This window comes from Homo sapiens, chromosome 7 (genome assembly GCF_000001405.40).
Source record: "Homo sapiens chromosome 7, GRCh38.p14 Primary Assembly".
NCBI classification, from domain to species: Eukaryota; Metazoa; Chordata; class Mammalia; order Primates; family Hominidae; genus Homo; species Homo sapiens.
This window is the reverse complement of record NC_000007.14, coordinates 7,446,967-7,459,905: the sequence shown is the minus strand read 5'-3', so window position 1 is coordinate 7,459,905 and position 12,939 is coordinate 7,446,967. Positions and strand designations below refer to the sequence as shown.

Below are 12,939 nucleotides of genomic sequence, written 5' to 3'. Positions count from 1 at the left end.
GCTGTTTTTGTCTGTGCTCAGATATAATTATGGAGTAGTCTGGCTTTCATCTTGGTCCATCACAGTCATGGGGTGGCCTTGTTTGATCTTGATGATTTGTCAAATTGTTCATGTTTGACACCACGGCCTACTTGCCAGGGTCAGGTCAGCTCCTCGTTGTTAGGGATTGCTTTTCTCTTTCTCACTGGCTATTTGTTTTCTTTAAAACAGCTGCAGATTATACCAGATTAGAAATGGGAATGGAGCTGGTGATAGGAGCTACTAGAGGCTGATACAGCCATAAAGAGCATTGGAAGTGAAGCTGCCAGAGGGGGAAGGATATAAGAAATGTATAAAAAAGCAGAGAACTCATATCAATTTGGAGTCATTTATATATCAGCCTTTAAGCAGATAATTATATTGTATATTATATTAGGATAACAATTGATATTCATGATTATCTCAAGTGCTGGGTTTCAATCTTGAATGACTTATTTTTATTTGCTGGTAGTTATCTCTTCTAGCTGTTTGTATTTAAATAGCAGAAATAAATAGTGAGTGATAGGAATTTTAGATGCAATACAATTCTTTGTTCAATCTCTTAGCTCTGGCTGTACAGCAACTCCAAAATACTCCAAAAAATACATGAGTTGCTCTTTCTTCCTTTGGAGCAGCGAGAACTGAATACAACAGAACCATTGTTTTATGAGTTCAGTAAATTAACTTTTTCAGGTGGTGTTGGGACATGGTGCATGTTATTTTTACATTTGGAGGTCATGCAAAGAAATCACTCTGAAGTATCAGGATATTATTACATAGCAAAGCTTTTATCTGCTGTTCCCTCAATACCATCTTCTTTTTCCTTTCTTCCTTTCCTGTTCTTTTACATATAACACTAGATTCAGAGGGCTTGATGTTTGTGATTCAAGTGATAATATAAACACGCCTCTGATAAGGCCTCTCAAATGTATGTAAATGGTACAAAACAAAGTTGTACTTATGGCACAGGTATTTAAATGTCAATAACACTGCACAAAAAGGGACCCTCTCTTATGTGTTTAACAAATATTTGCAAACTAGTGGCTATGAGTTGGGTTTTGGCTAGTGGCTATGAGTTGGACTTGACTGTCACCTCTGCCGTCTAACAGTTGCGTGACCTGGGGTGAGTTACTTACACTCATCTGAAAAATGGGGATGGCCACTTTACAGGGGTTGTTGTGAGGATAAATGAAAGGATGTAAAGCATTAAGCACAATATCTGATGCATAAGAAATCAAGTTCTGAATCAAAATAGTCCAGCTCTGAGCCAGAACTGGATTCCATTATGTTTTCCTTCCGTAATATTTATGTAGATCAAAGGTTGATAGAGCACTAAGTAGTGTATTCCAGGGCATCTCCTAGTGCAGGTTCTATATATTTAATGTTATATAAAGTTTGATCTAATGATACATTTTTCTTTTCTTTTTGTTTGTTTTTTTTGTTTGTTTGTTTTTTGTTTTGTTTTTTTTTGAGACAAGAGTTTCACTCTTGTTGTCCAGGCTGGAGTGCAATGGCACCATCTCAGCTCACTGCACCATTCACCTCCCCGGTTCAAATGATTCTCCTGCCTTAGCCTCCTGAGTAGCTGGGATTACAGGCATGTGCCACCATGCCCAGCTAATTTTGTATTTTTAGTAGAAATGGGGTTTCTCCATGTTGGTCAGGCTGGTCTCGAACTCCCGATCTCAGGGGATCCGCCCACCTCTGCCTCCCAAAGTGCTGGGATTATAGGCGTGAGCCACGGCGCCCAGCAAATGATACATTTTTCTTCATAAAAACATATTTATTTAGCTCAAACATTGGCCAACTGTTGAGCTGGCTGCCTGTTTTTACAAATAAAATGTTATGAGACCACAGGTATACTTGTTCACTATATATTATCTATGGCTACTTTTGTACTACCAAAGCAGCATTGATCAATTACGAGAGACATCATTATGACCCTCAAGCCCAAAGTATCTGCTATCCAACTGTTTAAAAGTTTTGCGGCCCTAATGTAGTCTAAATACAACTGCCATTAAAATGAGCATGTTAACCATGTTACTCAATCCAGCGGTCAATTCTCTGTCATCAACTAATTTGCCCTGTTGGTAGCATTTGACAGATGGATCCCTCACCTTCTTGAAACACTCTCTTCACTTGGTCTCTCTGGCTGCTTCCTTCTCAGTCTCCACTGCTGTGACTTCTTCATCTCTCTGACCTCTAATGATTGGAGTGCTTAAAGGGCTCAGTCCTGGGACCATCTCTTTTTTCTATTACTTGGCAAATTCACTCAATTATGGCCTTTAATATCATTTATATACTGAGGGCTCCCAAATTTATGTTCTCATCCCAGGCCTCTCCCACCTACTTGATATCTCCATTTGGATGTTCATTTTAGGGATCTCAAACTAAACATGTCCAAAACTGAACTCCTGATATCACCCTCCACCTCAAACCTTGCTTTTCTCTCAGGCTTTTTCTTCTCAGTCAATGACAACTCTATTCTGCCAAGAGTCCTTTCAGTCCTCAGCAAATCCCATCACTCTACCTTCAACATTATCCAGGTTTTGAGCACTCCCCACCACCTCCACTCTCAACATTCTGGTTTGTGCCCCATCATCTCTCATGCAGACCCCCTTCAGTCTGTTCTCCATACAGCTTCCAGATGGGGCCTTAAAAACCAAGTCAGATCTCTCACTTCCCTTCTCAAAACCCTCCAGTGGCTTCCTAACTTACTCAGAGGATAGCCAAGTCCTTACAGTGGCCTCAAAGGCCCCACTGATCCTTCTACCTGACTCCACTGCCATAATTCTCTGACTTCATTGTCTACCGCTCTCCCTCATGGAGATGGTTCCACCCGCACTGTCTCCTTGCTGTTTCTGGAACATGTCAGGCATCATCTTTGTTTTGGCTGTTTCTCTGCATGGAATGCTTTTCTTCTGGGTTTCTACCTGGCTCATTCCCTCTCGTCAGTGACTTCATCTCTGGACATCTTAACCAAAATCATCGCTGCCTCTTCTCTTCCCTGATTAATTTTTCTCCTTCACACTTATTATTCAACATACTAGTTATTTTATCTACCTGTCTTGTTTACCATCTTGTTTCCCCTACTAAAATCTAAGCTCAATGGAGGACAGAGATTTTGAGCTGTTTTGGTCACTGTTGTTTTCCTAGTGTTTGGAACACTTTCTGGCTTATAATGGGCACTCAACAAACACCTGTATAAAGACACAGAAAGAATGAATTATGTTCTTCTTGCTGGTAACTTTAATTTTGTTTTCTCAATTTCATGGAAGAAGAAAATAGGGCTGTTTAATTTTGCTGCATTCACTTGAGATCATTTCTTCATTTTCAAAATGCATTTTCAATAAGATTTGGAGGGAAAGGGTATTTAGAAAATTTAAAAATATTTTTCTTCAATTTATCTCTCATTCTATTTTTATTATATCCTATGAATTTTCTACTTTTAAATATTTCTGTTACAATCTTAGCAGGAAATGTTTGTGTCATAACAACTATTCAGGAAATTTTGTTTGTGAGAAAATGATTGATAAATATAAGCCTATACAAATGCTCACCAACTTAGACTGAATAGCAAAAATGTCATTTACTATTTTGGGGAATTTGAATTATAAACTTTTAAAGGAATAAAATAAAGTTTTATAATTTTCCATGTTGAATTTTTTTTATAGTATAAAGATAGATTTTAACACAGCCCAATTCCAGGTTAGCAAAGTATGAAATAATAAGATTTTATTTTATTGTTATATTTCCTGGCTTATTTTCTGTGCAGGGGGATATAGGACCTGTGGGACCCCAAGGACCAATGGGTATCCCTGGAATCGGGAGTCAAGGGGAACAGGTAATTAATGCATTCTTCCTTTCCCTTCAGTGCAGAACATTCCAGCCCAATCCTGGTCTTCATTGAAGGCCAGTCCTGCAAACATCTATGAGTATATTTGACAGTTAATTGCAGTGGAGTATAAGTCCAGAAGTGAATATAGGGAAGGATAAGATGGTTTCATGAGAAGATTTTATTTTTTAGAACTTCCAAAGGCTTAAAAAATAAGTAGTGTGTTTCTTGATGCTGTGACTTTTAACATTAAAACCTAATTAACAAGGTAAATGTTTTGGTGCAATATTTTTAGTTCCCCTTGGGAACAATAGTTTACTCACCTGCTGGTTTGTGTATTTTTTTCTCCTTGAAGCTTTGTGAAAATTAAATCCCACTCTCTCCCAATGGAGTAGAGTGGTATCCCCCTACCAACCACTCTAACTAGCCACATATCCATTTTTTAAAAAAGTATTATAGTTAAAACTTGGACCAGGATCAGAGATAACCACTTAGTTTAAGGGGCAAACTTCTGGAATAGAAGCAAAACACAGATATAATTTATAAATGACACCTGGCCCCTCTTGGTGAGAAGAAAAGAAAGATCTGTAAGAATGTCTACATTCGTGATTAGAACCATTTCCAAAATCTTCTGATAACTTTTGGAAAATCTGGGTATTGTGATAAATCTAAATAATGTGAAGATAGTATAACAGTACTCTCTACTGTTGTTTACCATGTAGTCTTTTGTTTACCATATACTTTGTTGTTTGCCATATACTTACGCAGCCTTATTAATCAAAGCAACCCACAAATTCAGTTTTATGCTAAATATCTCCTGGTTAGAAAGTGGCAGGTCAGGTTTGATTAAGATTTATGAGTAAGGTTTGAATTATTCTATTGCTTAAAGAATGAATAGTGCTTTCTGTATCTAGTTTCTGTATCTAGGGTAGTGGGAGAAGGGAAGAATTTAAAAAATGAGATAATTCCGGTGTCATTGTTGAGATTTACTTTGGGTTTATTTCTAATTGGCTGCTAATTTATTATTATTATTACTTTTCTTGCTAGTCCAAACAACAGCAAAGTTGGATATGACTCCTTTTTCCATTCCCTTGCCATTGGCAGAGGTCCTAGTCTAACACATTAGGAATCTTAAGGTACAGAAGAAGCCAAGATAAATGTATAAATAAATATTTAGATAATAATTAAGAGCTGGACATTTGGGCTACTCAAATATCATCATTTGATTATACCAGCCGACATTCTCAAGCCTTTTAGTTTATTTGTTGGTTTTAGCAGGGGCTTACTTATCCCAAAAGTGGCCGGACAGTGTTGTCACATCTTGGGTCTTGCAGTGCTCCTGGTGCTGAGTGACCACTATGGGGCTAAATATGAGGTTCGAAGACAAGTCTGTTCAGATGGCCTGTGAATTCTGGACCTCCTACCTACAGCTTCCTGTCGCCTTTAATGCTGTTCCTTGGTGGAGGTTGTTGTTCTTCAGCTTGGGAAAAAAAACAAAACAAAAGTCTCGGACTTCTTTCATTTTCTTACCCCCTTTTCTTCTTTTTGTAAAGAAAAAAAAATTTCGAGGTAGATGTGTCCTTACAGAGCTGATCTCTATTGGAAATGAGATCTCTATTTGTAAAATGATCTGAGCAAGAAAAGAATTTATTTACCTTTTAAGACAAATGATATAAATTCTACTTAAATTTAACCTCTGTCTATGCAGTTATTCAATGTTCTTTAATTTGATGTGTTTATCCATTGAATTCTTGTTATGTTAGATCTTCCTATTTCTCTCATAAAAATGAATGTTTTCCCTCATGTGTTTATGAGGGAACTTCTGTTTCCAGCAACATGTTTACAATCTCTCTTAAATGGCCCACAGATTTTTGTTAAATATTTGGAGGCTTGATCAACTCAGATCTTTTACAAATAGAGTGAAAAATAAACAACCACATATACAAATGTACACATATGTGCATATCCTTTTTTATACCCATGTATAAAAACCTCCTTTATATTGTGAAGGAGGGAGTCAAGTGTTTGAACCTTCTTCAGTTTGGTATCTACTGACTATTGCTTCTGTTAATCAACTGACTACTGCCTCTATTAATCGGTCTTGATAGTCTGCCATACTGAGGGTGCTTTCCTCATCTGCATGATCCTGGATGGCCACCCTCTCTTAATTCCAGCTACTGAAGAAGAGGAAAAGGGAAGGAGAAGGCATACCTCTTCTTTTAGCATGAACCAGGAGTTACACACATCACTTCATTCCTATCCCATTGGCTAGAATCTAGCCCACATGGCCACGCCTGGCTGCAACAGGGACTGAGAAACGTGGTCTTTATTCTAGGCAGATATACGGGCCAGCTAAAATTTCTATTAATATGGAAATAGGGAAGAATGCAAATTGTGGTTTAACTAGCAGCCCCTGGCACCCCACTCCACAAATGCTTATTGAGTGTAAGTAACTTATTATGGGGTATGAACTAAAGTTTCACTTTAGAGGATTTGAAACTACTTCATTTCACTAACACTATTTTATAAAATTTTATTTTAAAGGGAATCCAAGGTCCTATTGGTCCACCTGGTCCACAAGGGCCCGCAGGACAGGGCTTACCTGGTTCCAAGGTAACTTTGTAAATGAGAGCGGAGTTTAATATATCTATAGTATAATTGCTGTTTTCTGATCAGTGCCAGTGCAAGGGAAGACAGCAGGTAGAATGAACTTAAAAATCAGAGATCTCTACTTAATGCAAAATGTTACTGATATTCCTGACAATTTAGAAAATGTAATATGTATTCTTTATGCTTTAAGAAAGCTTTATTTACACAATTTTCATTTGTTGTTTTCTTTGTTACTTTTATTTATGAGATCCTATTCTACCAACTCAAACAGTAATATTAATAGAGGCAACCAGTGGTTATGTGTCTCTCTAGGTTGGCTAATTTTCATTCTCACCACCACTCTGACAGTAGGTGCAACTACTAAAACCTTAGCTAAAGAGATGGGGTCAGAAATGACCTAACAAATAAAAATGTTTTATTTACTTGGGAATCAAACTATCTCATAGATTGGAACTATTATTTTTTCCTTGAGGAGGAGCATGGCACTTATTTAACTAGTTATCCTTAATATTGCTTCTAAGAATCATGAATCATTGTTAAATAAATAAAATACTTCTCTGAGACTATTCACCTTAGAACACACTCCCTAGAGCTGTCCGTGTGAGAAGCTGCTCAATGGACCACTCTGACTATTCTTGAGAGTTTTGATTTGGGGCCTGCCTTGAAAGCTTGAGTTGCGTTCTCTGCTTATGACATTGCTCTTGATCAGCAGTTACCTTGGCTTTTCCTGTGCCAATTTTAGTTGTTCTAGAATGCAACTGCCTATCTTTTCCAGATACCCTCCACAAGGGGCTCCTTAAAATCAATTTTGAATATGCTATGTGGCCTATATTTTAAGTCAGACCATATATACATCAAACATTATGTACATTTTTCATTTACATATATATTCCAAATCTGGTGCAAATCCATCCCCCGAAGGGATTTCAGGCAATATATATGAATTGAGCACATGAAACTGTTTTACTTTGTTGATATAAGACAGGTTTTAGGAGATCAACAGCAGGAATATATTATTTTCACTTTGCTGCTGTATTAAACTCTTTTCTTACTAGGGAGAAGTAGGCCAAATGGGACCTACAGGCCCTCGAGGACCAGTGGGAATTGGAGTACAAGGTCCAAAGGTGAGTTGACTGCTGCTCAGAAGTGATATGATACTTTATGTAACATTATATAAGGTTTCCTTTATATCCAATTGCCTTACAGACTCTGTGTGTGTTATCTAACTCTACATAATGGGCTCCTTTTACTTTTTAAGTGCGGCTACTACTACTGCAAAAGCTATAATTACACGTATGGCTTGCTTTATTTTCCTCTTGGACAGTGCTGCTCTAAAATATATACTCCACTAGGGTGGCACTTTGTTTATCTTGGTTTATTATAGAATCCCCAGCTTTCGGGACATGATAGATTCTCAATAAATACTGCTGAATAAATGAACGAATACTTAGTTTACCCTTCACAGTTTCGATAAGTCATCCTGAAGTTATATAGGATCTAGAGAGCCAGTTGAGCGCTCAACTTCACCATTGTTCTGTTGTTGTCATATTCTTACGAGCATTTGAGTATTAGAAGAATATATAAGATGTAGGTCTAAGAAGAATATACATGTTACATACATAAACATGATTACAAAGGATAAAAAAGTATTAATATAGTAATAATAGCTGCCATTTTTACATGGTTTCCATGTGCTACACAGTATACTAAGTGCCAAGTTTGACATATGTTTATACATATGTGTAATATATGCCTCTGTGTATGTATGTATACAAACATATTATGTTATATATATGTCAATTGCAGAGAGGCAATATACGATATAGTAAGGCTCAGCCGTTAGAGTACCCAAGTTTAAATCTCAGTTTCACTACTTATGACGTGCAATCTTAAACTTACTTTAAAAAATGAAGTATTTCTGCTGGGCGTAGTGGCTCACACCTGTAATCCCAGCACTTTGGGAGGCCAAGGCGGGTGGATCACAAGGTCGAGAGATCGAGACCATCCTGGCCAACATGGTGAAACCCCGTCTCTACTAAAAATACAAAAATTAGCTGGGCGTATTGATGCGTGCTTGTAGTCCCAGCTACTAGGGTGGCTGAGGCGGGAGAACCACTTGAACTCAGGAGGCGGAGGTTGCAGTGAGCTGAGATCGCGCCACTGCACTCCAGCCTGGCGACGAAGTGAGACTCCATCTTAAAAAAAAAAAAAGAAGTATTTCAAATATACTCACCATACAGAGAATAATACAAAGAGCACCTATGTATTCCACGGCCCAGCTTTATCAAATGTTAATGTTTTACCACACTGACTCTAGACTTTTTAAAAGAAACATTGTAGGTGTGGCTGAAGGTCCCTGCTGGCACTCCCCAATCCCACTGCCCTCCCTTCTCTCCTCACACATAATCATTATTATGAATTTGGTGTTTATCATTCTTTTGAAGTTTTTATAATTTCCCACACATTTTTATCCATAAACCATATATCACTTTTTTTGTGTCCTTAAACTTTACATGATATATCATTCTGCAATATATTTATAGTCAGCCTTATGTTTTATTTGTGTTTTTGTATGCCTCTAATTCATTGATATTAATCGCGTTATAGTATTCCACTGTATGAAAATATCTCATTTTATATTTATTCATCTTCATGATGGTGGATATTTAAATTGCTTGTCATTCTTTTTGCTTTTGCCAACAATGCTGCCACAAACATTCTGTTTCCTTTTGCACACGTTGGAGGACAAGTTTCTTGACTTGTAGAAGATAGACAGTTAGAGGTAGAATGGGAAGATCATAGAGCGTGCGAGTCTTCAATTGTGATACTACCAAAATCTTGTCCAAAATGCTTGTGCCAGTTTACCTTCCTGCTAGCAGTAGGCGATGATGTTCCTTTCTCTAAATCTGTGCAAATATGAAGTGTGTACAAATATATCTTACTGTGTTATACAAACTGCAAATATCTTCTCCTAGGCTCTGACTTATTTTTTTCACTTAGAGTACTTCTTAGTATACAGAAGTTTTAAATTCTATATTTCTATCCCTTTGTGATTTGTGATTTTTGAATATTATTTTAAAACATTTCTTGACCTGAGATTGATAAAGATATTCTTATGCATTTTTCTGAAAATTTTAGTGTTTTGTTTTTAAAATTTAGGGATTTAACCCACATGGAATTTATTTTTGTGTATGGGTCAATGTAGGGATCTATTTTTTATTACTATAAATAAACAAGTACCCCAGAATCAGTTGTTGAATAGTCCATCTTTACCACACTGATTTGCAGTACCACCTCTTTCATATATGAAGCTTCCATATTTTGAGTATCAGTGCCTGAGCTGTGTATTCTACTCCATTTGTCTATTTATATCTCTCAGTGCTATTACCTCCTTGTCTTGATTATAATAGGTTTATAATATATTTTGTCATCTAAAAGGAAAAATACTCTCATCTTCTTTCTTGGTTATTATTGACTCTAAGATACATGTTTTAGGGTTGGCTTGTCATATTTAACAGGATACCCCATTTGGTTTGCACTAAATCTACAGATTAAATAGCAAGTCTTTCACACCACAGAGTAAAGCTGTAATTTTTCAAGAAAATATTTGTAATTTTCTCCATAAAGGTCTTGTATTTTTTTAGTTAAATTTATTTCCAGATACCTTGAAGAAATTTTTATAATTGTGAATTTTTTTTCTATATCTTTTAACTAACTAGTATAGGTCTATAGGAGAATTTTTTTGTTTTGTTTTGTTTTGTTTTTTGGCATGTTGATTTTGTATCCAGCCACCCTGTGAAATCTGTTTGTGGAATCTCTTGCTTTTTCAGTCCCTATGTACACAATCATACTGTCTGAATATAAAGTTTTGCCTATTATTTTTTAGCTCTTCTTTGATTTTTTTTTTATCATTTTGTACTGCTAGGATCACTTGTACAATGTTTAAAAGAAATGACTTCAAAAGAAGTGCTTCTAAAATTTCACTCTTAAGTGTGATGTTTGCTGAAAGTTTTTGATAGATACCCTTCATTAGGTTAAGGAAGCTTCCTTCTTTTTTGGTTGTACCAAAAGTTACTTATTAAATATAAATGATTACTGGATTTTATCAAATTATGCATCTACTAAGATAATTGTGTTGTTTTCCACTTTTAACTTGTTAATACGATACATTACATTTACAGAGTTTTCAGATGTCAAACCATCCTTGCATTCTTGAGATAAACTCAATTCATTATGTGTACTTTTTTATGATGATCATTCAACTGACTAATCTTTTATTCAGGATTTTTGCTTTTATTTTAATAACTGTATTATCTGATTGGCATATAATAAATGCACATGTTTAAAGTATACAATTTGATGTTTTGAGATATGTGTATACCCTTGGAATCATTACTGCAATCAAGATGATAAATATTTCTGTAACCCTCAGAAGTTACCATCTGTCCTTCTATCCCTCTGTAACTTCTTCTATGTTCACTAATAGGCTTCCCACAGATCTGCTTTCCAATTATCTGCTAACCATTGATCTGTTTTTTGTCATCATAGACTAGTTTGCATTTTCTAGATTTTTATGGAATTATATACTATATGATATTTTCTGGCTTCTTTTAATGCAGCAAAATCTAAGATCCATGTTGTAGCATATATATGAACAGTTCATTCCTTTGTATTGCTGAATAGTATTGTATTATATGGATATACCACAATTTATTTATCCATTCACCTGTGTATAAATTTTGTTTTTTTCCAGATTTGGAATATTATAAATAAAAATTTTAAATAAATTTTATAAATTTTTATAAATTTTATCATAAATAAAATGTTATAAATGAACATTTTTATATGTGTTTGTATGGACATTTGTTTTTATTTTTCTTGGGTAAACACCTAGAAGTCAAATGGCTAGGTCAGAAGGTAGGTATTCATTTAGCTTTCCAAGAAATTGCCAAATCAACTTCCAAAAAAAAAATCTTTGCTTATTATTTTTTCTGGTTATAGAATTATAGTGTGCAGTTGCTTTTTCTTCCTTTTAGTACTTTTAAGATGTTGTTCTATTGTCTTCTCACTTGCATTGTTTCTGATGAGAAATGTGTTGTTATCCTTATATTTGTTTCTCTACACAACATGTCTTTTTTTCTCTGGCTGCTTTTGAGATTTCCTGTACATCATGGGTTCTGAGTGGTGTGATTATAATGTGCCTTAGATATGTTTCTTGTGCTTGAAGTTCATTGGTATTCTTGGTTCACTGATATTCTTAGATCTATGAGTTATAGTTTTCATCAAATTTGGAAAATATTTGGCCAGTATTTCTTGAAATAGCAATTCCTCACCTCAGGAACTCCAGTGTTACTTATCTTTGGATTTTATTTTTGTTTTGAGATAGAGTCTCACTTTCACCAAGGCTGAAGTGCAGTGGCATGCTCTTGACTCACTGCAGCCTTGCCTCCTGGGTTCAAGAGATCCTAGTGCCTTAGCTTCCCATGTAGCTGGGATTACAGGCGGCACCACCACTCCTGGCTAATTTTTGTATTTTTTAGTAGAGATGGGCTTTAGTAATGTTGGCCTGGCTATTTGGATGTTTCAGGTTATTTCACAGTTCACTGGTGCTCTGCTCATTCTTTTTCAGTCTCTTTTCTCTCTGTGTTTAATTTAGGATAGCTTTTATTGCTATATGTGTTAGTTCACTAATCTTTTCTTCCATGACACTAATCAGCTTTTAATTCTGTCCAGTGTTTTTTATCTCATACATCATAATTTTCAAATCTAAAATTTTAATTTGTATCCTTCATATATCTTCCATTTGTCTATTTAACATGCTTTAAATTTCCTCTGGTTTCTTGACTGTATGGAGTATAGTCATAATAACTGTTTTAATGTTCTTACCTCCTAATTCTACTACTGGTGTTATTTCTGGATAAGTTTCAATCGATTGATTTTTCTCAACACAAAGTGCTATATTTTTCAGCCTTTTTGAACGCCTATTTTTTATTTTTAAATTAAATATTATTATTAATATTAATATTTTAAAAGATGGGGTCTTGCTATGTTGCCTAGGCTTGCTTTGAATTCTTGGGCTCAAGCTGTCTTCTTGCCTTAGCCTCCTGAGTAGTTGGGATTACAGGCATGTACAGGCTGAATACTTTTTTATTGAATGCCCCACATTGTGAATTTTACCTTTTATTGTGTTGGATATTTTTGTATTCCTCTATTTTGAGCTTTGTTCTTGGATGTTTTTTAGTTACTTGAAAACAGATTGACCCATTTGGGTCTTGCTTTTAAGTTTTATTAGGTAAGACTACAGCAACATTTAGTCTAGGGTTAATTTTTTCCCACTGTTGAGGTAAGACCCTTTTTAGAACTCCAATTTATGCCCTCAGAATTGTGAGGTTTTATTTCTTGCCAGTAGAAATAGGCACTATTCCTGGTTCAATGTCAGTTCTCTCTAATCCTTTAAGTTGGTTGTTTTCCTGGCC

The 12,939-nt window shown here is 35.7% G+C and overlaps 1 protein-coding gene across 13 annotated transcripts in view; it reads left to right on the top strand.

Moving 5' to 3' along the window:
• COL28A1 (collagen type XXVIII alpha 1 chain) overlaps positions 1–12,939 on the top strand; it is a 205,677-nt gene that overhangs the window by 83,965 nt on the left and 108,773 nt on the right. For all 13 annotated transcript variants that reach the window (XR_926936.4, XM_011515360.3, XM_011515358.4 and 10 more), the window contains 3 exons: positions 3,794–3,862; positions 6,398–6,466; positions 7,519–7,587. Coding sequence is in view for 12 of the 13 variants with exons in the window: in XM_011515360.3 (XP_011513662.1) it covers positions 3,794–3,862; positions 6,398–6,466; positions 7,519–7,587 (207 nt within the window). In the remaining variant the exon portion in view is untranslated. The remainder of the gene's footprint in view (positions 1–3,793; positions 3,863–6,397; positions 6,467–7,518; positions 7,588–12,939) is intronic.